The following is a 25,765-nucleotide window of genomic DNA, read 5'->3' as shown; positions in this document are numbered from 1 at the left end:
TTTTCAGGGCAGGTTGAAGCTTTCCCCACCAGGACAGAAAAAGTACAAGAAGTGACTAAAGTACGGTTAAAAAACATTATCCCCAGGTTTGGACTGCCTCTAACTTTATATTCAGACAATGGGCCAGCATTTGTAGCTGAAATAGTGCAAAATTTAACAAGACTGTTAAAAATAAAATGAAAGTTACATACAGCGTATCAGCTGCAAAGTTCAGGAAAAGGTAGAACGTATGAACTGGACACTCAAGCAGCTACTGAAGAAATATTGCCAGGAAATTCATTAGAGATAGCATCAGGTTTTTGCCTATGGTCCTCCTCCGAGTCAGGTGCACCCCCACCAAATAAACTGGGTATTTGCTCTATAAGATTTTGTTTGGTCAGCCACCCCCAAATCATAGCTCAAATTAAAGGTGACCCCCAGGAACTAGGGAAATTAGCCTTAAGAAAGCAAATGCAGGCTTTAGGAATAACCATACAAAGTGTTCATAATTAGGTACATGAAAATGCGTGTAAGCCTCACATCCCTTTAAATCTGGTGACTCTGTTCAGGTTAAAAAGTAGAATCTAATTTCTCTACAATCCACATAGGATGGGCCCTATATTTTAACCTTGTCCACTCCCCACTCCCACTGCTGTTAAAGTTGCAGGTGTTGTGTCTTGGATCCACCACAGTCAGCTAAAACCAGCAGCTCAGGACAAGTGAACCAGCTAGCAGGACCCAGATCACCCAACCTGGCTGATCCTGAGATGAGACCAAGCTGCTGCTGAGGGTGAAAGCCCTGCTCTGGTCACTCCGGAGGCTGACCAGTCTATACACAGCTGAAACTTAAGGAAACAACAAGCTCTGTTGTAGACACACACCAGAAGCTGACTAGTCTATGCACAGCCGAAGCTTAAGGACTCATCAAGCAAGTAATGTAGTTAGAAATCTTCTTAGGACTAGTGGTATTCCCGTATACTAACTGTTTTACTAATGTTCTGTCACTATGCTCAACCTTTATCCCAGGTAAGGACCTCTTTTGTCCTTGCTGGATATGAATATAGTGTACATTGTTTTGTCATTGTCACCCCACTTAACCATGCTAGAAGAAACACCTACAGAAGGGTGTCCCCAACAGAATCAGGGGGATGGAGCCAAGATGGTCGAATAGGAACAGCTCCAGTCTACAGCTCCCAGCATGAGCGATGCAGAAAACGGGTGAGTTCTGCATTTCCATCTGAAGTACTGGGTTCATCTCACTAGGGAGTGCCAGACAGTGGGCGCAGGACAGTGGGTGCAGTGCAGCACGTGCGAGCTGAAGGAGGGCGAGGCATTGCCTCACTCGGGAAGTGCAAGGGGTCAGGGAGTTCCCTTTCCTAGTCAAAGAAAGGGGTGACAGACAGCACCTGGAAAATCAGGTCACTCCCACCCCAATACTGCCCTTTTCCGATGGGCTTATAAAACGGCGCACCAGGAGATTATATCCCGCAACTGGCTTAGAGGGTCCTATGCCCACAGAGTCTCGCTGATTGCTAGCACAGCAGTCTGAGATCAAACTGCAAGGTGGCAGTGAGGCCGGGGGAGAGGTGCCCGCCATTGCCCAGGCTTGCTTAGGTAAACAAAGCAGCTGGGAAGCTCGAACTGGGTGGAGCCCACCACAGCTCAAGGAGGCCTGCCTGCATCTGTAGGCTGCACCTCTGGGGGCAGGGCACAAACAAAAAGACAGCAGTAACCGCCGCAGACTTAAATGTCCCTGTCTGACAGCTTTGAACAGAGCAGTGGTTTTCCCAGCACGCAGCTGGAGATCTGAGAATGGGCAGACTGCCTCCTTAAGTGGGTCCCTGACCCCTGACCCCCGAGCAGCCTAAATGGGAGGCACCCCCCAGTAGGGGCAGACTGACACCTCACACGGCCGGGTACTCCTCCGAGACAAAATTTCCAGAGGAACAATCAAACAGCAGCATTCTCGGTTCACGAAAATCTGCTGTTCTGCAGCCACCTCTGCTGGTACCCAGGCAAACAGGGTCTAGAGTGGACCTCTAGAAAACGCCAACAGACCTGCAGCTGGGGGTCCTGTCTGTTAGAAGGAAAAATAAGAAACAGAAAGGACATCCACACTAAAAACCCATCTGCACATCACCATCATCAAAGACCAAAACTAGACAAAACCACAAAGATGGGGAAAAAACAGAGCAGAAAAACTGGAAACTCTAAAAAGCAGAGTGCCTCTCCTCCTCCAAAGGAACGAAGCTCCTCACCAGCAACGGAACAAAGCTGGATGGAGAATGACTTTGACGAGTTGAGAGAAGAAGGCTTCAGACAATCAAACTACTCTCAGCTACAAGAGGAAATTCAAACCAAAGGCAAAGAAGTTGAAAACATTGAAAAAATTTAGAAGAACTTATAACTACAATAACCAATACAGAGAAGGACTTAAAGGAGCTGATGGAGCTGAAAGCCAAGGCTCGAGAACTACGTGAAGAATGCTGAAGCCTCAGGAGCCAATGCGATCAACTGGAAGAAAGCATATCAGTGATGGAAGATGAAATGAAGTGAGAAGGGAAGTTTAGAGAAAAAAGAATTAAAAAAATGAACAAAGCCTCCAAGAAATAGGGGACTACGTGAAAAGACCAAATCTACGTCTGACTGGTGTACCTGAAAGTGACAGGGAGAATGGAACCAAGTTGGAAAACACTCTGCAGGATATTATCCAGGAGAACTTCCCCAATCTAGCAAGGCAGGCCAACGTTTAGATTCAGGAAATACGGAGAACGCCACAAAGATACTCCTCGAAAAGAGCAACACCAAGACACATAATTGTCAGATTCACCAAAGTTGAAATGAAGGAAAAAATATTAAGGGCAGCCAGAGAGAAAGGTCGGGTTACCCACAAAGGGAAATCCATCAGACTAAGAGCGGATCTCTCGGCAGAAACTCTACAAACCAGAAGAGAGTGGGGGCCAATATTCAACATTCTTAATCAAAAGAATTTTCAACCCAGAATGTCATATCCAGCCAAACTCAGCTTCATAAGTGAAAGAGAAATAAAATACTTTACAGACAAGCAAATGCTGAGAGATTTTGTCACAACCAGGCCTGCCCTAAAAGAGCTCCTGAAGGAAGCACTAAACATGGAAAGGAACAACCAGCACCAGCCACTGGAAAATCATAGCAAATTGTAAAGACCAGCGAGGCTAGGAAGAAACTGCATCAATTATTGAGCAAAATAACCAGCTAACATCATAATGACAGGATCAAATTCATACATAACAATATTAACTTTAAATGTAAATGGACTAAAGGCTCCAATTAAAAGACACAGAATGGCAAATTGGATAAAGAATCAAGACCCATCAGTGTGCTGTATTCAGGAAACCCATCTCACATGCAGAGACACACATAGGCTCAAAATAAAAGTATGGAGGCAGATCTACCAAGCAAATCGAAAACAAAAAAAGGCAGGGGTTGCAATCCTACTCTCGGATAAAACAGACTTTAAACCAACAAAGATCAAAAGAGACAAAGAAGGCCATTACATAATGGTAAAGGGATCAATTCAACAAGAAGAGCTAACTATCCTAAATATATATGCAGCCAATACAGGAGCACCCAGATTCATAAAGCAAGTCCTGAGTGACCTACAAAGAGACTTAGACTCCCACACAATAATATTGGGAGACTTTAACACCCCACTGTCAGCATTAGACAGAACAACGAGACAGAAAGTTAACAAGGATACCCAGGAATTCAATGCAGCTCTGCACCAAGCAGACCTAATAGACATCAACAGAACTCTCCACCCCAAATCAACAGAATATACATTTTTTTCAGCACCACATCACACCTATTCCAAAATTGACCACATAGTTGGAAGTAAAGCACTCCTCAGCAAATGTAAAAGATCAGAAATTATAACAAACCGTCTCTCAGACCACAGTGCAATCAAACTAGAACTCAGGATTAAGAAACTCACTCAAAACCGCTCAACTACATGGAAACTGAACAACCTGCACCTGAATGACTACTGGGTATATAACGAAATGAAGGCAAAAATACAGATGTTCTTTGAAACCAACGAGAACAAAGACACAACATACCAGAATCTCTGGGACACATTCAAAGCAGTGTGTAGAGGGAAATTTATAGCACTAAATGCCCACAAGAGAAAGCAGGAAAGATCCAAAATTGACACCCTAACATCACAATTAAAAGAACTAGAAAAGCAAGAGCAAACACAATCCGAAGCTAGCAGAAGGCAAGAAATAACTAAAATCAGAGCAGAACTGAAGGACATAGAAACACAAAAAAACTCTTCAAAAAATTAATGAATCCAGCAGCTGGTTTTGTGAAAGTATCAACAAAATTGATAGACTGCTAGCAAGACAAATAAAGAAGAAAAGAGAGAAGAATCAAATACACGCAATAAAAAATGATAAAGGGGATATCACCACCAATCCCCCAGAAATACAAACTACCATCAGAGAATAATATAAAGACCTCTACTCAAATAAACTAGAAAATCTAGAAGAAATGGATAAATTCCTCGACACATACAACCTCCCAAGACTAAATCAGGAAGAAGTTGAATCTCTGAAAAGACCAATAATGGGATCTGAAATTGTGGCAATAATCAATAGCTTACCAACCAAAAAGAATCCAGGACCAGATGGATTCACAGCCGAATTCTACGAGAGGTACAAGGAGGAACTGGTACCATTCCTTCTGAAACTATTCCACTGAATAGAAAAAGAGGGAATCCTCCCTAACTCATTTTATGAGGCCAGCATCATCCTGATACCAAAGCCTGGCAGAGACACAACCAAAAAAGGGAATTTTAGACCAATATCCTTGATGAACATTGATGCAAAAATCCTCAATAAAATACTGGCAAACCAAATCTAGCAGCACATCAAAAAGCTTATCCACCATGATCAAGTGGGCTTCATCCCTGGGATGCAAGGCTGGTTCAATATAGGCAAATCAACAAATGTAATCCAGCATATAAACAGAACCAAAGATGAAAACCACATGATTATCTCAATAGAAGAAGAAAAGGCCTTTGACAAAATTCAGCAACCCTTCATGCTAAAGACTCTCAATAAACTAAGCATTGATGGAACATATCTGAAAATAATAAGAGCTATCTATGACAAACCCACAGCCAATGTCATACTGAATGGGCAAAAACTGGAAGCATTCCCTTTGAAAACTGGCACAAGGCAGGGATGCCCTCTCTCACCACTCCTATTCAACATAGTGTTGGAAGTTCTGGCCAGGGCAATTAGGCAGGAGAAGGAAATAAAGGGTATTCAATTAGGAAAAGGGGAAGTCAAATTGTCCCTGTTTGCAGATGACATGATTGTATATCTAGAAAACCCCATTGTCTCAGCCCAAAATCTCCTTAAGCTGCTAAGCAACTTCAGCAAAGTCTCAGGATACAAAATCAATGTACAAAAATCACAAGCATTCTTATACACCAATAACAGACAAACAAAGAGCCAAATCATGAGTGAAATTCCATTCACAATTGCTTCAAAGAAAATAAAATACCTAGGAATCCAACTTACAAGGGATGTGAAGGACCTCTCCAAGGAGAACTACAGACTACTGCTCAATGAAATAAAAGAGGAGACAAACAAATGGAAGAACATTCCATGCTCATGGGTAGGAAGAATCAATATCGTGAAAATGGCCATACTGCCCAAGGTACTTTACAGATTCAATGCCATCCCCATCAAGCTACCAATGACTTTCTTCACAGAATTGGAAAAAACTACTTAAAAGTTCATATGGAACCAAAAAAGAGCCCGCATCACCAAGTCACTCCTAAGCCAAAAGAAAAAAGCTGGAGGCATCATGCTACCTGACTTCGAACTATACTACAAGACTACAGTAACCAAAACAGCATGGTACTGGTACCAAAACAGAGCTATAGATCAATGGAACAGAACAGAGACCTCAGAAATAATGCTGCATGTCTACAACTATCTGATCTTTGACAAACCTGAGAAAAACAAGCAATCGGGAAAGGATTCCCTATTTAATAAATGGTGCTGGGAAAACTGGCTAGCCATACGTAGAAAGCTGAAACTGGATCCCTTCCTTACACCTTATACAAAAATTAATTCAAGATGGATTAAACACTTAAACATTAGACCTAAAACCATAAAAACCCTAGAAGAAAACCTAGGCATTACCATTCAGGACATAGGCATGGGCAAGGACTTCATGTCTAAAACACCAAAAGCAATGGCAACAAAAGCCAAAATTGACAAATGGGATCTCATTAAACTAAAGAGCTTCTGCACAGCAAAAGAAACTACCATCAGAGTCAACAGGAAACCTACAAAATGGGAGAAAATTTTTGCAACCTACTCATCTGACAAAGGGCTAATATCCAGAATCTACAATGAACTCCAACAAATTTACAAGAAAAAAACAAACAACCCCATCAAAAAGTAGGTGAAGGACATGAACAGACACTTCTCAAAAGAAGACATTTATGCAGCCAAAAGACACATGAAAAAATGCTCACCATCACTGGCCATCAGAGAAATGCAAATCAAAGCCACAATGAGATACCATCTCACACCAGTTACAATGGCAATCATTAAAAAGTCAGGAAACAACAGGTGCTGGAGAGGATATGGAGAAATAGGAACACTTTTACACTGTTGGTGGGACTGTAAACTAGTTCAACCATTGTGGAAGTCAGTGTGGTGATTGCTCAAGGATCTAGAACTAGAAATACCATTTGACCCAGCCATCCCATTACTGGGTATATACCCAAAGGACTATAAATCATGCTGCTATAAAGACACATGCACATGTATGTTTATTGTGGCACTATTCACAATAGCAAATACTTGGAACCAACCCAAAAGTCCATCAATGATAGACTGGATTAAGAAAATGTGGCACATATACACCATGGAATACTATGCAGCCATAAAAAATAATGAGTTCATGTCCTTTGTAGGGACATGGATGAAATTGGAAATCATCATTCTCAGTAAACTATCGCAAGAACAAAAAACCAAACACCGTATATTCTCACTCATAGGTGGGAATTGAACAATGAGAACACATGGACACAGGAAGGGGAACATCACACTCTGGGGACTGTTGTGGGGTGGGGGGAGGGGTGAGGGATAGCTTTAGGAGATATACCTAATGCTAAATGACGAGTTAATGGGTGCAGCACACCAGCATGACACATGTATACATATGTAACTAACCTGCACATTGTGCACATGTATCCTAAAACTTAAAGTATAATAATAATAATAGTAATATAAAACCATTAAATAAAAAAAAGAAAAAGAGGAAAAAAGAAAAAAAAAAGAAGGGTGTCCCCACTGTAACATACTACTTGGTCAGGGAACAATATAACTAGAACCCTATTGTACTATACTTATTATGAGTGTACAAGGACTCACTTAGGAGCTTGTACTTATAATCAGACCACCTATTCAATTTGTGACCCAGGAAATGGCCAGCCTTATATATGTTATGACCCTAAGTCTTTACCTGGGACTTAATTTGAGATTCATACCAAGTCAAAAGAAGGAAGTCTTGTAAGTCAAACCCAAGCCTCTCTTTCCAGAGTGGGGAGCTATATCCATATACTTTGATATTTGTCAGTTAACATCCATGAACCAAACGCATCTCACAATCTCTGGTCCTACAAGGTATTATACAAATTGCCAGTACAAAATTGTATGTGCACCCCCTGTTTATCCTTCCAAGGCCCTAGCAATAGCTTACCCGAACTGCACAACGCAGTTCACTGACACATCATCACCAAGGCCAAGCCAATCTTGCTCATCAGAGTAGCAGCAAAACCGAATTGTAAGACAAGCACTTGCAATCCTGTAAATCTTACTATCTTAAAGCCAGATGTACCTATATGGACTACAGGTTACTTCATGGCATTACAAAGCTATGGTCAAAAAGCTAAAATAACTATATATTCTAAACAGGACTCAAACCAACCAGTCAGCCCAGCAACAATTATGGGTCTTTAAGTCATTCTTTGAGCATATAAACCAGAAGTTACCAGAGCCTCCTCCTTTAGCCAAAAACCTATTTATTCAGCTGGTTGAAAACATTGTCAGCAGCCTAGGCATTTGCTCATGTTATGTTTGTGGAAGGACTAACATAGGAGACCAATGGCCTTGGGAAGCAAAAAAGTTAATGCCTCAAGATAACTTTACTCTGAGTGACTCTTTCCCCAAACAGATGCCCACAAGTTCAAGCGTCTGGCTCTTAAAAACTTCTATTATTAGAAGATACTTTGTTGCTCGCTGAGGAAAGGCTTTTACAGACCCAGTAGGAGAAATAACCTGCTTAGGATGGCAATATTACAATGAAACATTAAGGAAAACTTTGTGGCAGGGCACAGATGACTACAGAGCACCTTATCCAAATCTGTTCTCCCGTTTCTCTTCTCTAAACCACACTTGGTATCAACTTGAATCTCCAAATACTTGGCAAGCAACCCCCAGTCTTTATTGGATCTGTGGGCTATGGGCATATCAACAGTTGCCAGTTAAATGGGCAGGGGCCTGTGTGCTTAGAACAATTAGACCATCTTTATTCCTACTCCCACTGCAATAGAGAAAAACTTTAGGGGATCCTGTGTATGATGAACTTAGAAGAAGAAACAAAAGAGATGCAGACATAAAGAGAGATATAAAAATAGGATATTAAAAAGACACAGATGAGCCCCCTGAAAAAATAATTCAATACTATGGGCCAGCTACCTGGGCACAAGATGGATCATAGGGATACCGCACTCCTATTTACATGCTTCACCACGTCATAAGGTTGCAGGCAGTACTTGAAATAATCACTAATGAAGCAGCAAATGCATTAGATTTACTGGCCCAGCAAACCACAAAAATGAGAAACACTATCTATCAGAACAGATTAGCTTTATAGACTACATCCTAGCCCAGGAAGGAGGAGTATGTGGAAAGTTCAATCTAACTAATTGTTGTCTGGAAATCAATGACAATGGAAAAGCAATTATGTAAATAACTGCAAGAATGAGAAAATTAGCCCATGTTCCAGTTCAAACCTGGAAAATGTGGTCCCCAGATTCTCTCTTTGTAGGCCAGTTTTCATTTTTCAGAAGGTCCAAGACTTTAATAGGAGTGGTTCTGGCCATACTAGGAAGTTGCCTAATACTCCCTTGTCTCTTCCTTCTCTTTGTTAGAAGCATTCAATCAACTATAGAGACAATAGTAGCTAGGCAAACTACCACTCAGCTAATGGCTCTGCTTAAATATCAACCTTTGTCTAAAGAAGAAAACTTGTCTCTTCAGGCAGAACTAAGTAATAGTGATACCTCCTATTAAACTTCTTTTATAAAAGGCACCAAAGAGGGGAAACTGAGGCAGATATTTAAAATAATAATAAGTACTGCATTTATTCACTCCAAGAAAAGTAAAAGCTAAGGCCCAGAATGTGGCAAAGCAAAGGTTAAAAAGAAAAGAACAAGTTTTTCTCTGCCTAGCAGCTCACTTCAAGGACAGTTAGAAGATAATGCAGTCCAAATAGCCAAGGCCAAAAAAGTAGGCTCCAGACACACTCCTCCCTTCCAGAGCAAGGTTGAAAGAAAATAAAGAGAAAGACAGGTTCTTTTACTGTTACTCTTTTCCCAGGCTTCTTAAGCATGATTAGCATGATTATGTTTTACAAATGTCTGTATTTAGCCAGTTCTTGTTTTTCTTTTAATGCAGCTACAAGGCCACAGTCTAGGTCACAAGTTAATGTTATGCTATAGATTATGTGACCTATTACTGTATGATTAACTGCTTTTATTTTGCTACTGCTTTTATTTTGCTTCTGTAAGGCCGCTTATAAAAACCCCACTCTGTCTTTGTTCAGGGATCAGCTTTTGGATGTGAATCCTCTGAGCTGATGCATACCTAAAATAAACAAATCCTCCTATACTCTGTATTGGTCTCTCTATTCCTCAGTTTACCACAACAGCCATGACCTGGGGGAAGGGTAAATGGGGAGTTATTGTTAAATAAATGTATTGTTTTAGTTTTGTAAGATGAAAAGCATTCTGGAAATGGATCATGGTGATGAAGGTTGTACAAAAATATGAATGTACTTAATACCACCGAATGTACACTTAAAATGATTAACAAAATACATACTGTGTAATACATATTTTACCACAACAAAAACTTGGAAACAAAGGTGGCTGGCAAGATGGCCAACTAGGAACAGCTCCAGTCTGCAGCTCCCAGTGAGATCAATGCAGAAGGTGGGTGACTTCTGCATTTCCAACGGAGAAATCCAGCTCATCTCATTGCGACTGGTTAGACAATGGGTGCAGCCCACGGAGGGTGAGCAGAAACAGGGTGGGTTGTCACCTCACCCAGGAAGCACAAGTGGTTGGGGAACTCCCTCCCTTAGCCAAGGGGAGCTGTCAGGGACTGTACCACGAGGAACGGTGCACTCTGGCCCAGATACTACAATTTTCCCATGATCTTTGCAACCCGTAGACCAGAAGATTCCCTTGGGTGCCTATGCCACCAGGGCCCAGGGTTTCAAGTACAAAATTGGGTGGCCATTTGGACAGACACCAAGCTAGCTGCAGGAGTTTGTTTATTTTTTTCTCATATCCCAGTAGCACTTGGAACACTAGTGAGACAGAACTGTTCACTCCCCTGCAAAGGAGGCTGAAGCCAGAGAGCCAAGTGGTCTAGCTAAGTGGATCCCAGCCTCATGGAGCCTACCAACATAAGATCCACTGGCTTGAAATTCTCACTGACAGCACAGCAGTCTGTCAGTGAAGTCGAACTGGGATACTCAAGCTTGGTGGGGGAAGGGGCATCCACCATTAATGAGGCTTCAGTAGGCATTTCTTCCTCTCCCATTATAAACAAAGACTCCCGAAAGTTCAAACTGGGCAGAGCCCACCACAGCTTGGCAAAGTTGCTGTAGCCAGACTGCTTCTCTAGATTGCTCCTCTCTGGGAAGAGCATCTCTGAAAAAAAAGGTGGCAGCCCCAGTCAAAGGCTTATAGATCAAACTCCCAACTCTCTGGGAATGAGCAGCTTGGGGAAGGGGTGGATGTGGGCACAGTTTCAGCAGACTTAAACATCCCTGCCCGCTGGCTCTGAAGAGAACAGCAGAGCTCCTAGCACAGTCCTTGAGCTCTGCTAAGGGACAGACTGCCTCCTCAAGTAGGTCCCTGACCCATCTGCCTCCTGACTGGGAGACACCTCCAAGCAGGGGTCGACAGGCACCTCATACAGGAGAGCTCCAGCTGGCATCTGGCAATTGCCCCTCTGGGCACAAAGCTTTCAGAGGAAGAAACAGGCAGAAAGCTTTGCTATTCTGCCGCCTCTGCTGGTGATACCCAGGAAAACAGAATCTGGAATGGACCTCCAGCAACCTACAGCAGATATGCAACACAGGGGTCTGACTGTTAGAAGAAAACCAAAAAACAGAAAGGTATAGCATCAACATCAACAAAGAGGATATCCACACAGAAACCCCATCCAAAAGTCAGCAACATCAAAGACCAAAGGTAGATAAATGCATGAAGATGAGGAAAAACCAACGCAAAAGGACGGAAATTTTCAAAAATCAGATTTCCTCTTCTCTTCCAAAGGATCACAACTCCTCACCAGAAAGGAAACAAAACTGGACAGAGAACGAGTTTGATAAATTGAAATATGTAGGCTTCAGAAGGTGGAAAATAACAAATTCCTCCGAGTTAAAGAAACATGTTCTAAGCCAATGCAAGGAAGCTAAGAACCTTGAAAAAAAGTGACAGGAATTGCTAACTATAACACCCAGTTTAGAGAAGAACATAAATGACCCCATGGAAATGAAAAACACAGCATGAGAACTTCGTGAAGCATACACAAGTATCAATAGCTGAATCAATCCAGCAAAAAAAAAAAAGATATCAGAGATTGAAGACCAACTTAATGAAATAAAGTGTGAAGACAAGATTAGGGAAAAAAGAATAAAAAGGAACGAACAAAGCCTCCAAGAAATATGGAATGATGTGACAAGACCAAACCTACATTTGATTGGTGTACCTGAAAGTGACAGACAGAAGAAAACCAAGTTGGAAAACACTCTTCAAGATGTTATCCAGGAGAACTTCCCCAACCTAGTAAGAAAGGCCAACATTCAAATTCAGGAAATACAGAGAGCACTACAAAGATACTCCTCAAGCGAGCAAACCCAAGACACATAATTATCAGATTCACCAAGGTTGAAATGAAGAAAATAATGTTAAGGGCAGCCAGAGAGAAAGGTCGAGTTACCCACAAAGGGAAGCCCATCAAACAAAGGGGGATCTCTGCAGAAATGCTGCAAGCCAGAACACAGTGGGGGCCAATATTCAACAACCTTAAAGAAAAGAATTTTCAACCCAGAATTTCATATCCAGACAAACTAAACTTCATAAGAAAAGGAGAAATGAAATCCTTTACAGAGAAGCAAATGCTGAGAGATTTTGTCATAAGCATCCCTGCCATACAAGAGCTCCTGAAGGAAGCACTAATGTGGAAAAGAAAAACCAGTACTAGCCCCTGCAAAAACATGCCAAATTGTAAACACCACCGACACTATGAAGAAACTGCATCAACTAACAGGCAAAATAACCAGCTAGCATCATAATGACAGGTCAAATTCACATATAACAATATTAACCTTAAATGTAAATGGACTAAATGCTCCAATTAAAAGACACAGAATGGCAAATTGGATAAAGAGTCAAGACCCATCAGTGTGCTGTATTCAGGAAACCCATCTCACGTGCAGAGACACACATAGGCTCAAAATAAAGGGATGGAGGAAGATCTACAAATGGAAAACAAAGAAAAGGGAGGGTTGCAATCTCAGTCTCAGATAAAAAAGACTTTAAACCAACAAAGATCAAAAGAGACAAAGAAGGCCATTACATAATGGTAAAGGGATCAATTCAACAAGAAGAGTTAACTATCCTAAATATATATGCACACAATACAGGAGCAACCAGATTCATAAAGCAAGTCCTTAGAGACCTACAAAGAGACTTAGACTCCCACACAATAATAATGGGACACTTTAAAACCCCACTATCAACATTAGACAGATCAACGAGACAGAAAGTTAGCAAGGATATCCAGGAATTGAATTCAGATCTGCACCAAGCAGACCTAATAGACATCTACAGAACTCTCCACCCCAAATCAACAGAATATACATTCTTCTCAGCACCACACCACACTTATTCCAAAATTGACCACATAGTTGGAAGTAAAGCACTCTTCAGCAAATGTAAAAGAACAGAAATTATAACAAACTGTCTCTCAGATCACAGAGCAATCAAACTAGAATTCAGGATCAAGAAACTCACTCAAAACCACTCAACTAATGGAAAGTCAACAACCTGCTCCTGAATGACTACTGGGTACATAACAAAATGAAGGCAGAAATAAAGACGTTCTTTGAAACCAATGAGAACAAAGACACAACATACCAGAATCTCTGGGACACATTCAAAGCAGTGTGTAGAGGGAAATTTATAGCACTAAATGCCCACAAGAGAAAGCAGGAAAGATCCAAAATTGACACCCTAACATCACAATTAAAAGAACTAGAGAAGCAAGAGTAAGCACATTCCAAAGCTAGCAGAAGGCAAGAAATAACCAAGATCAGAGCAGAACTGAAGGAAATAGAGACACAAAAAAACCTTCAAAAAATCAATGAATCCAGGAGCTGGTTTTTTAAAATGATCAATAAAATTGATAGACCACTAGCAAGACTAATAAAGAATAAAAGACAAGAGAATCAAATAGATGCAATAAAATATGATAAAGAAGATATCACCACCAATCCCCCAGAAATACAAACTACCATCAGAGAACACTACAAACACCTCTATGCAAATAAACTAGAAAATCTAGAAGAAATGGATAGATTCCTCAACACATACAACCTCCCAAGACTAAACCAGGAAGTTGAATCTCTGAATAGACCAATAACAGGCTCTGAAATTGAAGCAATAATTAATAGCTTACCAACCAAAAAAAGTCCAGGACCAAATGGATTCACAGCCGAATTCTACAAGAGGTACAAGGAGGAGCTGGTACCACTCCTTCTGAAACTATTCCAATCAATAGAAAAAGAGGGAATCCTCCGTAACTCATTTTATGAGGCCAGCATCATCCTGATACCAAAGCCTGGCACAGAAACAACAAAAAAAGAGAATTTTAGACCAATATCCTTGATGAACATTGATGCAAAAAACCTCAGTAAAATACTGGCAAACCAAATCCAGCAGCACATCAAAAAGCTTATCCACCATGATCAAGTGGGCTTCATCCCTGGGATGCAAGGATGGTTCAACATACGAAAATCAATAAACGTAATCCAGCATAGAAACAGAACCAAAGATAAAAACCACATGATTATCTCAACAGATGAAGAAAAGGCCTTCGACAAAAACTCAACAACTCTTCATGCTAAAAACTCTTAATAAATTAGGTATTGATGGGATGCATCTCAAAATAATAAGAGCTATCTATGACAACCCCACAGCCAATATCATACTGAATGGGCAAAAACTGGAAGCATTCCCTTTGAAAACTGGCACAAGGCAGGGATGCCCTCTCTCACCACTCCTATTCAACATAGGAAGTTCTGGCCAGGGCAATCAGGCAGGAGAAGGAAATAAAGGTATTCAATTAGGAAAAGAGGAAGTCAAATTGTCCCTGTTTACAGATGACATGATTGTATATCTAGAAAACCCCATCTTCTCAGCCCAAAATATCCTTAAGCTGATAAGCAACTTCAGCAAAGTCTCAGGATACAAAATCAATGTACAAAAATCACAAGCATTCTTACACACCAATAACAGACAAACAGAGAGCAAAATCATGAGTGAACTCCCATTCACAATTGCTTCAAAGAGAATAAAATACCTAGGAATCCAACTTACAAGGGATGTGAAGGACCTCTTCAAGGAGAATTACAAACCACTGCTCAATGAAATAAAAGAGGATACAAACAAATGGAAGAACATTCCATGCTCATGGGTAGGAAGAATCAATATCGTGAAAATGGCCATACTGCTCAAGGTAATTCACAGATTCAATGCCATCCCCATCAAGCTACTGATGACTTTCTTCACAGAATTGGAAAAAACTACTTTAAAGTTCATATGGAACCAAAAAAGAGCCCGCATTGCCAAGTCAATTCTAAGCCAAAAGAACAAAGCTGGAGGCACCACAATACCAGATTTCAAACTATACTACAAGGCTACAGTAATCAAAACAACATGATACTGGTACGAAAACAGAGATATAGATCAATGGAACAGAACAGAGACCTCAGAAAGAATGCCACATATTTACAACCATCTGATCTTTGACAAACCTGAGAAAAACAAGCAATGGGGAAAGGATTCTCTATTTAATAAATGGTGCTGGGAAAACTGGCTAGCCATATGTAGAAAGCTGAAACTGGTTCCCTTCCTTACACCTTATACAAAAATTAATTCAAGATGGATTAAAGACTTACATGTTAGACCTAAAACCATAAAAACCCTAGAAGAAAACCTAGGCAATACCATTCAATCAGGACATAGGCATGGGCAAGGACTTCATGTCTAAAACACCAAAAGCAATGGCAACAAAAGACAAAATTGACAAATGGGATCTAATTAAACTAAAGAGCTTCTGCACAGCAAAACAAACTACCATCAGAGTGAGCAGGCAACCTACAGAATGGAGGAAAATTTTTGCAATCTACTCATCTGACAAAGGGCTAATATCCAGAATCTATGATGAACTCCAACAAATTTACAAGAAAAAAACAAACAACACATCAAAAAGTGGGCGAAGGACATGAACAGACACTTCTCAAAAGAAGACATTTATGCAGCCAAAAAACACATGAAAAAATACTCACCATCACTGGCCATCAGAGAAATGTAAATCAAAACCACAGTGAGATACCATCTCATACCAGTTAGAATGGCAATCATTAAAAAGTCAGGAAACAACAGGTGCTGGAGAGGATGTGGAGAAATAGGAACACTTTTACACTGTTGGTGGGACTGTAAACTAGTTCAACCATTGTGGAAGTTGGTGTGGCAATACCTCAGGGATCTAGAACTAGAAATACCATGTGACCCAGCCATCCCATTACTGGATATATACCCAAAGGATTATAAATCATGCTGCTATAAAGACACATACACATGTATGTTTATTGCAGAACTATTTACAGTAGCAAAGACTTGGAACCAACCCAAATGTCCAACAATGATAGACTGGATTAAGAAAATGTGGCACATATACACCATGGAATACTATGCAGCCATAAAAAATAATGAGTTCGTGTCCTTTGTAGGGACATGGATGAAGCTGGAAACCATTCTAAGCAAACTATCACAAGGATAAAAAACCAAACACCACATGTTCTCACTCATAGGTGGTAACTGAACAATGAGAACACATGGACACAGGAAAGGGAACATCACACACCGAGGCCTGTTGTGGGGTGGTGGTATGGGGGAGGGATAGCATTAGGAGATATGCCTAATATTAAATGATGAGTTAATGGGTGCAGCACACCAACATGGCACAAGTATACATATGTTACTAACCTGCACATTGTGCACATGTACCCTAAAACTTAAAGTATAATTAAAAAAAAAAGAATAAGTCTGGCCATATGATATGATTTGGCTATGTCCCCATCCAAATCTCATCTTGAAATTCCACATATTGTGGGAGGATCCAGGTGGGAGGTAATTGAATCATGGGGGAAGGCCTCTCCCATCCTGTTCTCATGATAGTAAGTCTCTCGAGATCTGATGATTATTATAAGTGGGAGTTTCCCTGCACAATCTCTCTTGTCTTCTGCCATGTGAGAGGTGCCTTTCATCTTCCACCATGATTGTGAGGCTTCCCCAGCCATGTGGAACTGTAAGTCCAATAAACCTCTTTCTTGGAGCTGCTTCAGAGATGGCAAAATAGGAATAGCTCCAGTCTACAGCTCCCAGCAAAATCAATGCAGAAGATTGGTGATTTCTGCATTTCCAACCGAGTTACCTGGTTCATCTCATTGGAACTGGTTGGACAGTGGGTGCAGCCCACAGAGAGTGAGCTGAAGAAGGGTGGGGTGTTGCCTCATCCAAGAAGTGCAAGGGATTGGGGGATTTCATTTTCCTAGCCAAAGGAAGCCGTGAGTGACTGTACCTGGAGGAATGGTAAACTCCTGCCCAAATACTGCACCTTTTCCACAGTCTTCACAACCAGCAGACCAGGAGATTCCCTCCCATGCCTGGTGTGGCAGGTCCCATGCCCATGGAACCTTGCCCCTTGCTTGCGCAGCACTCTGAGTTTGACCTACGATTCTGGAGCTTGGTGAGGAAAGGGGCGTCCACTATTGCTGAGGCTTGGGTAGGCAGTTTTATGCTCCCAGTGTAAAAAAAGCAGCAGGAAAGCTTGAACTGGGCGGAACCCACCACAGTTCAGCAAGGCCTACTTCCTCTCGAGATTCCACCTCTGGGGGCAGGGCATATTGGAACAAATGGCAGCAGACAGTTTCTGCAGACTTAAACTTCCCTGCCTGACAGCTCTGAAGAAAGCAGTTGTTCTCCCAGCATGGCGTTCAAGACCCGATAATGGACAGACTGCCACCTCAAATGGATCCCTGACACCTGTGTAGCCTGATTGGAGGACACCTCCCAGTAGGGGCCAACAGACACCTCATACAGGTGGGTGCCCCTCTAGGACAAAGCTTCCAGAGGAAAGATCAGGCAGCAATATTTGCTGTTCTGCAGCCTCCGTTGGTGATACCCAGACAAACAGGGTCTGGAGTGGACCTCCAGCAAACTCCAACAGATCTGCAGCTGAGAGTCCTGTCTGTTAGAAGGAAAACCAACAAACAGAAAGGAATAGTATCAACATCAACAAAAAGGACATCCAAACGAAAACACCCTCCATAGGTCACCAACATCAAAGACCAAAGGTAGACAAAAGCACAAAGATGAGGAGAAACCAGAGCAGAAAGGCTGAAAATTCCAAAAACCAGAACACCTCTTCTCCTCCAAAGAAACACAACACCTTGCCAGCAATGGAACAAAACTGGATGGAATATGAGTTTGACGAGTTGACAGAAGTAGGCTTCAGAAGGTTGGTAATAACAAATTTCTCCAGGATAAAGGAGCATGTTCTAACCCATCATAATGAAGCTAAAAACCTTGGAAAAAGGTTAAAGGAATAACTAACCAGAATAACCAGTTTAGAAGAGCTTAAATGAACAATGGAGATGAAAACCACAGTAGGAGAACTTCTTAAAGCATACAGAAGCTTCAATAGCCAATTCGATCAAGCAGAAGAAAGGATATCAGTGATTGAAGATCAACTTGATGAAATAAAGTAAGAAGACAAGATTAGAGAAAAAAAGAGTGAAAAGACATGAACAAAACCTTCAAAAAATAGGGGACTATGTGAAAAGACCAAATCTACATTTGATTGGTGTACCTGAAAGTTAAGGGGAGCATAGAACCAAGTTACAAAATGCTCTTCAATATATTATCCAGGAGAACTTCCCAACCTAGCTAGGCAGGCCAACATTCAAATTCAGGAAATACAGAGAACACCACAAAGATACTCCTCAAAAAGAGTAACCCCAACATACATAATCATCAGATTCACCAAGGTTGAAGTGAAGGAAAAAATATTAAGGGCAGCCAGAGAGAAAGGTAGGATTACCCACAAAGGGAAGCCCATCAGACTAACAGTGGATCTCTCTGCAGAAACCCTACAAGCCAGAACACAGTGGAGGCCAATATTCAACATTAAAAAAGAAAACAATTTTCAACCCAGAATTTTATATCCAGCCAAACAAAGCTTCATAAGTGAAAGAGAAATACATTATTTACAGACAAGCAAATGCTGAGAGATTTTGTCACCACCAAGCCTGCCTTACAAGAGCTCCTGAAGGAAGCACTAAACATGGAAAGAAACAACTGGTACCAGCCAATACAAAAACATGCCAAGTTGTAAAGACCATTAATGCTATGAAGAAACTGCATCAACTAATGGGCAAAATAACCAGATAGCATCATAATGACAGAACCTAATTCACACATAACAATATTAACCTTAAATGCAAATTGGCTAAATGCCCCAATTGAAAGACACAGACTGGCAAATTGTATAAAGAGTCAAGACCTATCAGAGTGCTGTATTCAAGAGACCCATCTGTGCAAAGACACACGTAGGCTCAAAATAAAGGGATGGAAGATCTACCAAGCAAATGGAGAGCAAACAAAAGCAGGGTTTGCAATCCTGGTGTCTGATAAAACAGACTTCAAACCAAAAAGATCAAAAGAGAAAAAAAAAAGGCCATTACATATTGGTAAATGGATCAATTCAACAAGAAGAGTTAACTATCCTAAATATATATGCACAAAATACAGGAGCACCCAGATTCATAAAGCAAGTTCTTAGAGACCTACAAAGAGACTTAAACTCCCACCCAATAATAATGGGAGACTTTAACACTCCACTGTCAATATTAGACAGATCAATGAGACAGAATATTAACAAAGATATCCAGGACTTGAACTCAGCTCTGGACCAAGTGGACCTAATAGACATCTACAGAACTCTCCACCCCAAATCAATAGAATATAAATTCTAATCAGCAGCCCATCATATTTATTCTAAAATTGACCACATAATGGGAAGTAAAACACTCCTCAGCAAATGTAAAAGAACAGAAATAACAACGAACTGTCTCTAAGACCACAGTGCAATCAAACTAGAACTCAGGATTAAGAAACTCACTCAAAACCACACCACTACATGGAAACTGAACAACCTGCTCCTGAATGACTACTGGGTAAATAACGAAATGAAGGCAGAAATAAAGATGTTCTTTGAAACCAACAAGAACAAAGACACAACATACCAGAATCTCTGGGACACATTTAAAGCAGTGTGTAGAGGGAAATTTATAGCACTAAATGCCCACAAGAGAAGGCAGGAAAGATCTAAAATTGATATCCTAACATCACTATTAAAAGAACTACAGAAGCAAGACCAAACATATTCAAAAGCTAGCAGAAGGCAAGAAATAACTAAGATCAGAGCAGAACTGAAGGAGATAGAGACACAAAGAAAAAACCCTTCAAAAAATCAATGAATCCAGGAGCTGGTTTTTTGAAAAGATCAACAAAATAGATAGTCTGCTAGCAAAACTAATAAAGAAGAGAAGAGAGAAGAATCAAATAGATGTAATAAAATATAATAAAGGGGATATCACCACTGATCCCACAGAAATACAAACACACATCAGAGAATACTATAAACACCTCCACAAAAATAAACTAGAAAATCTAGAAGAAATGGATAAATTCCTCCCAAGGCTAAACCACCCACCCAAGATTAAACCAGGTACAAAGAGGAGCCGGTACCACTCCTTCTGAAAGTATTCTAATCAATAGAAAAAGAGGGTATCCTCCCTATCTCATTTTATGAGGTCAGCATCATCCTGATACAAAAGCCTGGCAGAGACACCACAAAAAAAGAGAATTTTAGGCCAATATCCTTGATGAACCTTGATGCAAAAAGCTCAATAAAATACTGCAAACCAAATCCAGCAGGACATCAAAAAGCTTATCCACCATGATCAAGTTGGCTTCATCCCTGGGATGCAAGGCTGGTTCAACATATGAAAATCAATAAATGTAACCCATCACATAAACAGAACCAATGGCAAAAACCATGATTATCTCAATAGATGCAGAAAAGGCCTTTGACAAAATTCAACAGCCTTTCATGCTAAAAACTCTCCATAAACTGGGTATTGATGGAACGTATCTCAAAATAATAAGAGCTATTTATGACAAACCCACAGCCAATATCATACTGAATGGGCAAAAACTGGAAGCATTCCCTTTGAAAACTGGCACAACACAAGGATGTACCCTCTCACCACTCCTACTCAATGTAGTGAATAGTTGGAAGTTCTGGCCAGGGCAATCAGGCAAGAGAAAGAAATAAGGGGTATTAATAAGGAAAAGAAGAAGTTAAATTGTCTCTGTTTGCAGATGACATGACTGTATATTTAGAAAACCCCATTGTCTCAGCCCAAAATCTCCTTAAGCTGATAAGCAATTTCAGCAAAGTCCCAAGATACAAAATCAATGTGCAAAAATTACAAGCATTCCTATACACCAAGAACAGAGAGCCAAATCATGAGTGAACTCCCATTCACAATTACTACAAATAGAAGAAAACACCTAGGGATCCAACTTAAAAGAGATGTGAAGGATCTCTTCTAGGAGAACTACAAACCACTGCTAAACTAAATAAAAAGAGGACACATACAAACGGAAAAACATTCCATGCTCATGGATAGGAAGAATCAATATTGTGAAAATGGCCAAACTGCCCAAGGTAATCTAGAGATTCAATGCTATCCCCATTAAGCTACCACTGACTCTTCACAGAATTGGAAAAAACTACTTTAAATTTCATATGGAACCAAAAAAAGAGCCTGCATAGCCACGACAATCCTAAGCAAAAAGAAAAAAGCTGGAAGCATCATGCTACCTGACTTCAAACTATACTACAAGGCTACAGTAACCAAAACAGCACGATAATGGCACCAAAACAGATATATAGACAAATGGAACAGAACAGAGACCTCAGAAATGACACTACACATCTAAAAGTATCTCATCTTTGACAAACCTGACAAAAACAAGCAATGGGGAAAGGATTCCCTATTTAATAAATGGTGCTGGGAAAACGGGTTAGCCATATGTAGAAAGCTGAAACTGGATCCCTTCCTTACACCTTACACAAAAATTAACTCACAATGGATTAAAGATTTAAATGTTAGACCTAAAACCATAAAAACCCTAGAAGAAAACCTGGGCAATACCATTCAGGACATAGGCATTGGCAAAGACTTCATGACTAAAACACCAAAAGCAATGGCAACAAAAGCCAAAATTGACAAACGGGATCTAATTAAGTTAAAGAGATTCTGCACAGTAAAAGAATATATCTTCAGAGTGAACAGGCCACCTACATAATGGGAGAAAATGTTTGCAATCTATCCATCTGACAAAGGGCTGATATCCAGAATCTACAAAGAACTTAAACAAATTTACAAGAAAAAAATCAAACAACAGGCAACCTACATAATGGGAGAAAATGTTTGCAATCTATCCATCTGACAAAGGGCTAATATCCAGAATCTACAAAGAACTTAAAAAGATTTACAAGAAACAAACAACCCCATCAAAATGTGGGCAAAGGATAAGAACAGACACTTCTCAAAAGAAGACATTTATGCAGCCAACAGACATTTGAAAAAATGCTCATCATCACTGGCGATCAGAGAAATGCAAACAAAACCACAATGAGATACCATCTCATGCCAGTTAGAATGGCGATCATTAAAAAGTCAGGAAACAACAGATGCTAGAGAGGATGTGGAGAAATAGGAATGCTTTTACACTGTTGGTGGGAGTGTAAATTAGTTCAAGCACTGTGGAAGACAGTGTGGTGATTCCTCAAGGATCTAGAGCCAGAAATACCATTTGACCCAGCAATCCCATTACTGGGTTTATACCCAAAGGATTATAAATCATGCTACTATAAAGACACATGCACACGTACGTTTATTGTGGCACTATTCACAATAGCAAAGATTTGGAACCTACCCAAATGTCTATCAATGATAGACTGGATAAAGAAAATGTGGCACATTTACACCATGAAATACTATGCAGCCATAAAAAAGGATGAGTTCACGTCCTTTGTAGGGACCCGGGTGAATCTGGAAACCATCATTCTCAGCAAAATATCACAAGGACAGAAAACCAAACACTGCATGTTCTCAGTCATAAGTGGGAGTTGAACAATGAGAACACATGGGTATAGGGAAAGGAACATCACACACTGGGGCCTGTTGGAGGGTGGGGGGCTGGGGGAGGGATAGCATTAGGAGAAATACCTAATGTAAATGATGAGTTGATGGGGGCAGCAAACCAACATGGCACATGTATACTTATGTAACAAACCAGCACTTTGTGCACATGTACCCTAGAACTTAAAGTATAATAATAATAATAATAATAAAAGCTCTTTCTTTTGTAAATTGCCCAATCTCAGGCATATCTTTATCAGCAGCATGAAAAGGGACTAATACACCATGTTTTGGTAGAGAAGCTGTGTTGTGCTGGGGCATCATTTTTGCCCCTGATCAGCTCAGCCTCTCCAATGCCCAAAGGCTGGAACAGCTAAGTCACCCAAATAGCAAAGATGGCGGCCTACCCCCCCCACCCCCACCCCACAGGGAGCACTGTCCCAGGGAGAATTCAGCTCTCTGTTGACTGAAGAACACACATGGAGGTGGCTGGAGGCCCTGGTTGGGAGGACCCCACCCAGTGGGACTGGGGACCCACTTAAAGAAGGAGTCTGGCCACATTTTGGTTGAGGAGCTGTGCTGTGTTGAGGGATCCATTCAGCCCTGGATTGACTTGAACTTTCCAGAGCCCAATGGCTGAAACAACTAAGTTGCTCAAACAACAAACAAGGCAGCCCGTCTCTCCCTCTGGGAGTGCCATCCCAGTAGCGATTCAAATCTCTGTCAGCTGGAGATCATGAGTGCAATTGGCTGGAGGCCCAAGTTCAAAATTCCCCCCCACCCAGTGAGGAGGGACAGTATATCTGCTTTAAGTATCTGCCTAAAGCAGCAGTCTGGCCATGTTTTAGTAGAGAAACTGTCCTGTGCTGGGGGATCCCTTCTGCCCTCAGTCAGCTTGGACTCTCCAAAGCCTGAAGGGTGGAATGGCTAAGGTGGCCAAATGGCAAAGATGGCAGCCTGCCCCACACCCTGGTAGCTTATTCTTAGGGAGCTGCAATGCTGCTACAATTGGCTGGTTGAAATTGCAAGCCTGTAGGCCTTATCTTGTGAGGTGCTGTGGAACTGGTGCCTGCAGGCTGTCACTGCTCAGCCTCCTGGATTCAGCCTCTTTCCTAGGGGTATGTATGGGGGTGTAATCTCCCATTTTGCCAAAGCTGCAGCTACTTTTGACAGAAATCCCGAGTATCTAAGTCTCCAGGATCTCCACGCATGCCTGGGTGCCTGCTCTGCTGAGAATCCACGTAGCTCTGTCTGTCAGACTGGAGGCTCTGATGGAGTGGGTTCGCAAGATCTCCTGTTACAAAGATTCATGGGAGAAGCATGGTTTCCTGAGGTTGCACATTCACTCACCACTTTCCTGGTTGGTGGAGGTTCCCCGGCTTCATGTTGCTCTCAGGTGAGCCATTGTTCTGTCTTGCTTTTCTATGTTTCCCGTGGGTCAAGTTGTTTCCTTGATTAGTCCCAATGCGAGTACCTGGATGTTTCAGTTGAAGGTGTTGTATTTACTCACCCTTTCTGTTCCTCTCTGTGAGAGCCACACACTAGCTGCTTCTAGTCAGCCATCTTGGCCACTTCCTTCGTGTCTCCTTTTTTCTTTCTGATTTTCTTTATTTGAGTCTTCTCTCTTTTTTCTTAATCTAGCTAATGGTTTGTCAATTTTGTTTATCTTTTCAAACATCCAACATTTTTTCTAATTTTTTGTATTATTTTATTCTCAATTTCATTTATTTATTCTCTAATCTTTATTATTTTTGCCTTCTCCTAATTTGGGTTTTGGTTTGTTCTTGCTTTTCTAGTTCTTTGAGATGCATCATTAGGCCGTTTATTTAAAATCTTTCTACTTTTTTGATGTAGGTATTTCTTTTTTATTTATTTATTTATTTATTTATTTATTTCTGTACCTTAACTGATTTTGGAGATCATTTCTATCTGCACATATAGAGATTATCTTTTTTTTATTTTATTTTTTTTACTGATCATTCTTGGGTGTTTCTCCCAGAGGGGGATTTGGCAGGGTCATAGGACAATAGTGGAGGGAAGATCAGCAGATAAACAAGTGAACAAAGGTCTCTGGTTTTCCTAGGCAGAGGACCCTGCGGCCTACCGCAGTGTTTGTGTCCCTGGGTACTTGAGATTAGGGAGTGGTGATGACTCTTAACGAGCATGCTGCCTTCAAGCATCTGTTTAACAAAGCACATCTTGCACCGCCCTTAATCCATTTAACCCTGAGTGGACACAGCACATGTTTCAGAGAGCACAGGGTTGGGGGTAAGGTCATAGATCAACAGGATCCCAAGGCAGACGAATTTTTCTTAGTACAGAACAAAATGAAAAGTCTCCCATGTCTACTTCTTTCTACACAGACACAGCAACCATCCGATTTCTCAATCTTTTCTGCACCTTTCCCCCTTTTCTATTCCACAAAACCGCCATTGTCATCATGGCCCGTTCTCAATGAGCTGTTGGGTACACCTCCCAGACGGGGTGGTGGCAGGGCAGAGGGGCTCCTCACTTCCCAGTAGGGGCGGCTGGGCAGAGGTGCCCCTCACCTCCCAGATGGGGTGGCTGGCCGGGCGGGGGGCTGACCCCCCCACCTCCCTCCCAGACGGGGCGGCTGGCCGGACGGGGGGCTGACCCCCCCACCTCCCTCCCGGACGGAGCAGCTGGCCGGGCGGGGGACTGACCCCCCACCTCCCTCCCAGATGGGGCGGCTTGCCGGGGGGGGGGTATTGACCCCCCATCTCCCTCCCGGATGGGGTGGCTGGCTGGGTGGGGGGCTGACCCTCCCACCTCCCTCCCAGACGGGGCAGCTGGCCAGGTGGGGGCTGACCCCCACCTCCCTCCCAGACGGGGTGGC

At 41.5% G+C, this 25,765-nt stretch overlaps 2 annotated features.

The window, feature by feature from the left end:
• Positions 1,528-2,028: an enhancer, noted in NCBI's record as "H3K4me1 hESC enhancer chr6:86572250-86572750 (GRCh37/hg19 assembly coordinates)". NCBI's record gives its function as "activates a minimal SCP1, AML or CMV promoter by ChIP-STARR-seq in primed H9 embryonic stem cells {active_cell/tissue: H9 hESC(primed)}" and the evidence as "EXISTENCE:reporter gene assay evidence [ECO:0000049][PMID:30033119]".
• Positions 24,802-25,339: an enhancer, noted in NCBI's record as "NANOG-H3K27ac hESC enhancer chr6:86548939-86549476 (GRCh37/hg19 assembly coordinates)". NCBI's record gives its function as "activates a minimal SCP1, AML or CMV promoter by ChIP-STARR-seq in naive H9 embryonic stem cells {active_cell/tissue: H9 hESC(naive)}" and the evidence as "EXISTENCE:reporter gene assay evidence [ECO:0000049][PMID:30033119]".

Source organism: Homo sapiens, chromosome 6, assembly GCF_000001405.40.
Source record: "Homo sapiens chromosome 6, GRCh38.p14 Primary Assembly".
NCBI lineage: Eukaryota > Metazoa > Chordata > Mammalia > Primates > Hominidae > Homo > Homo sapiens.
This window is presented reverse-complemented; position numbering and strand designations above follow the sequence as displayed.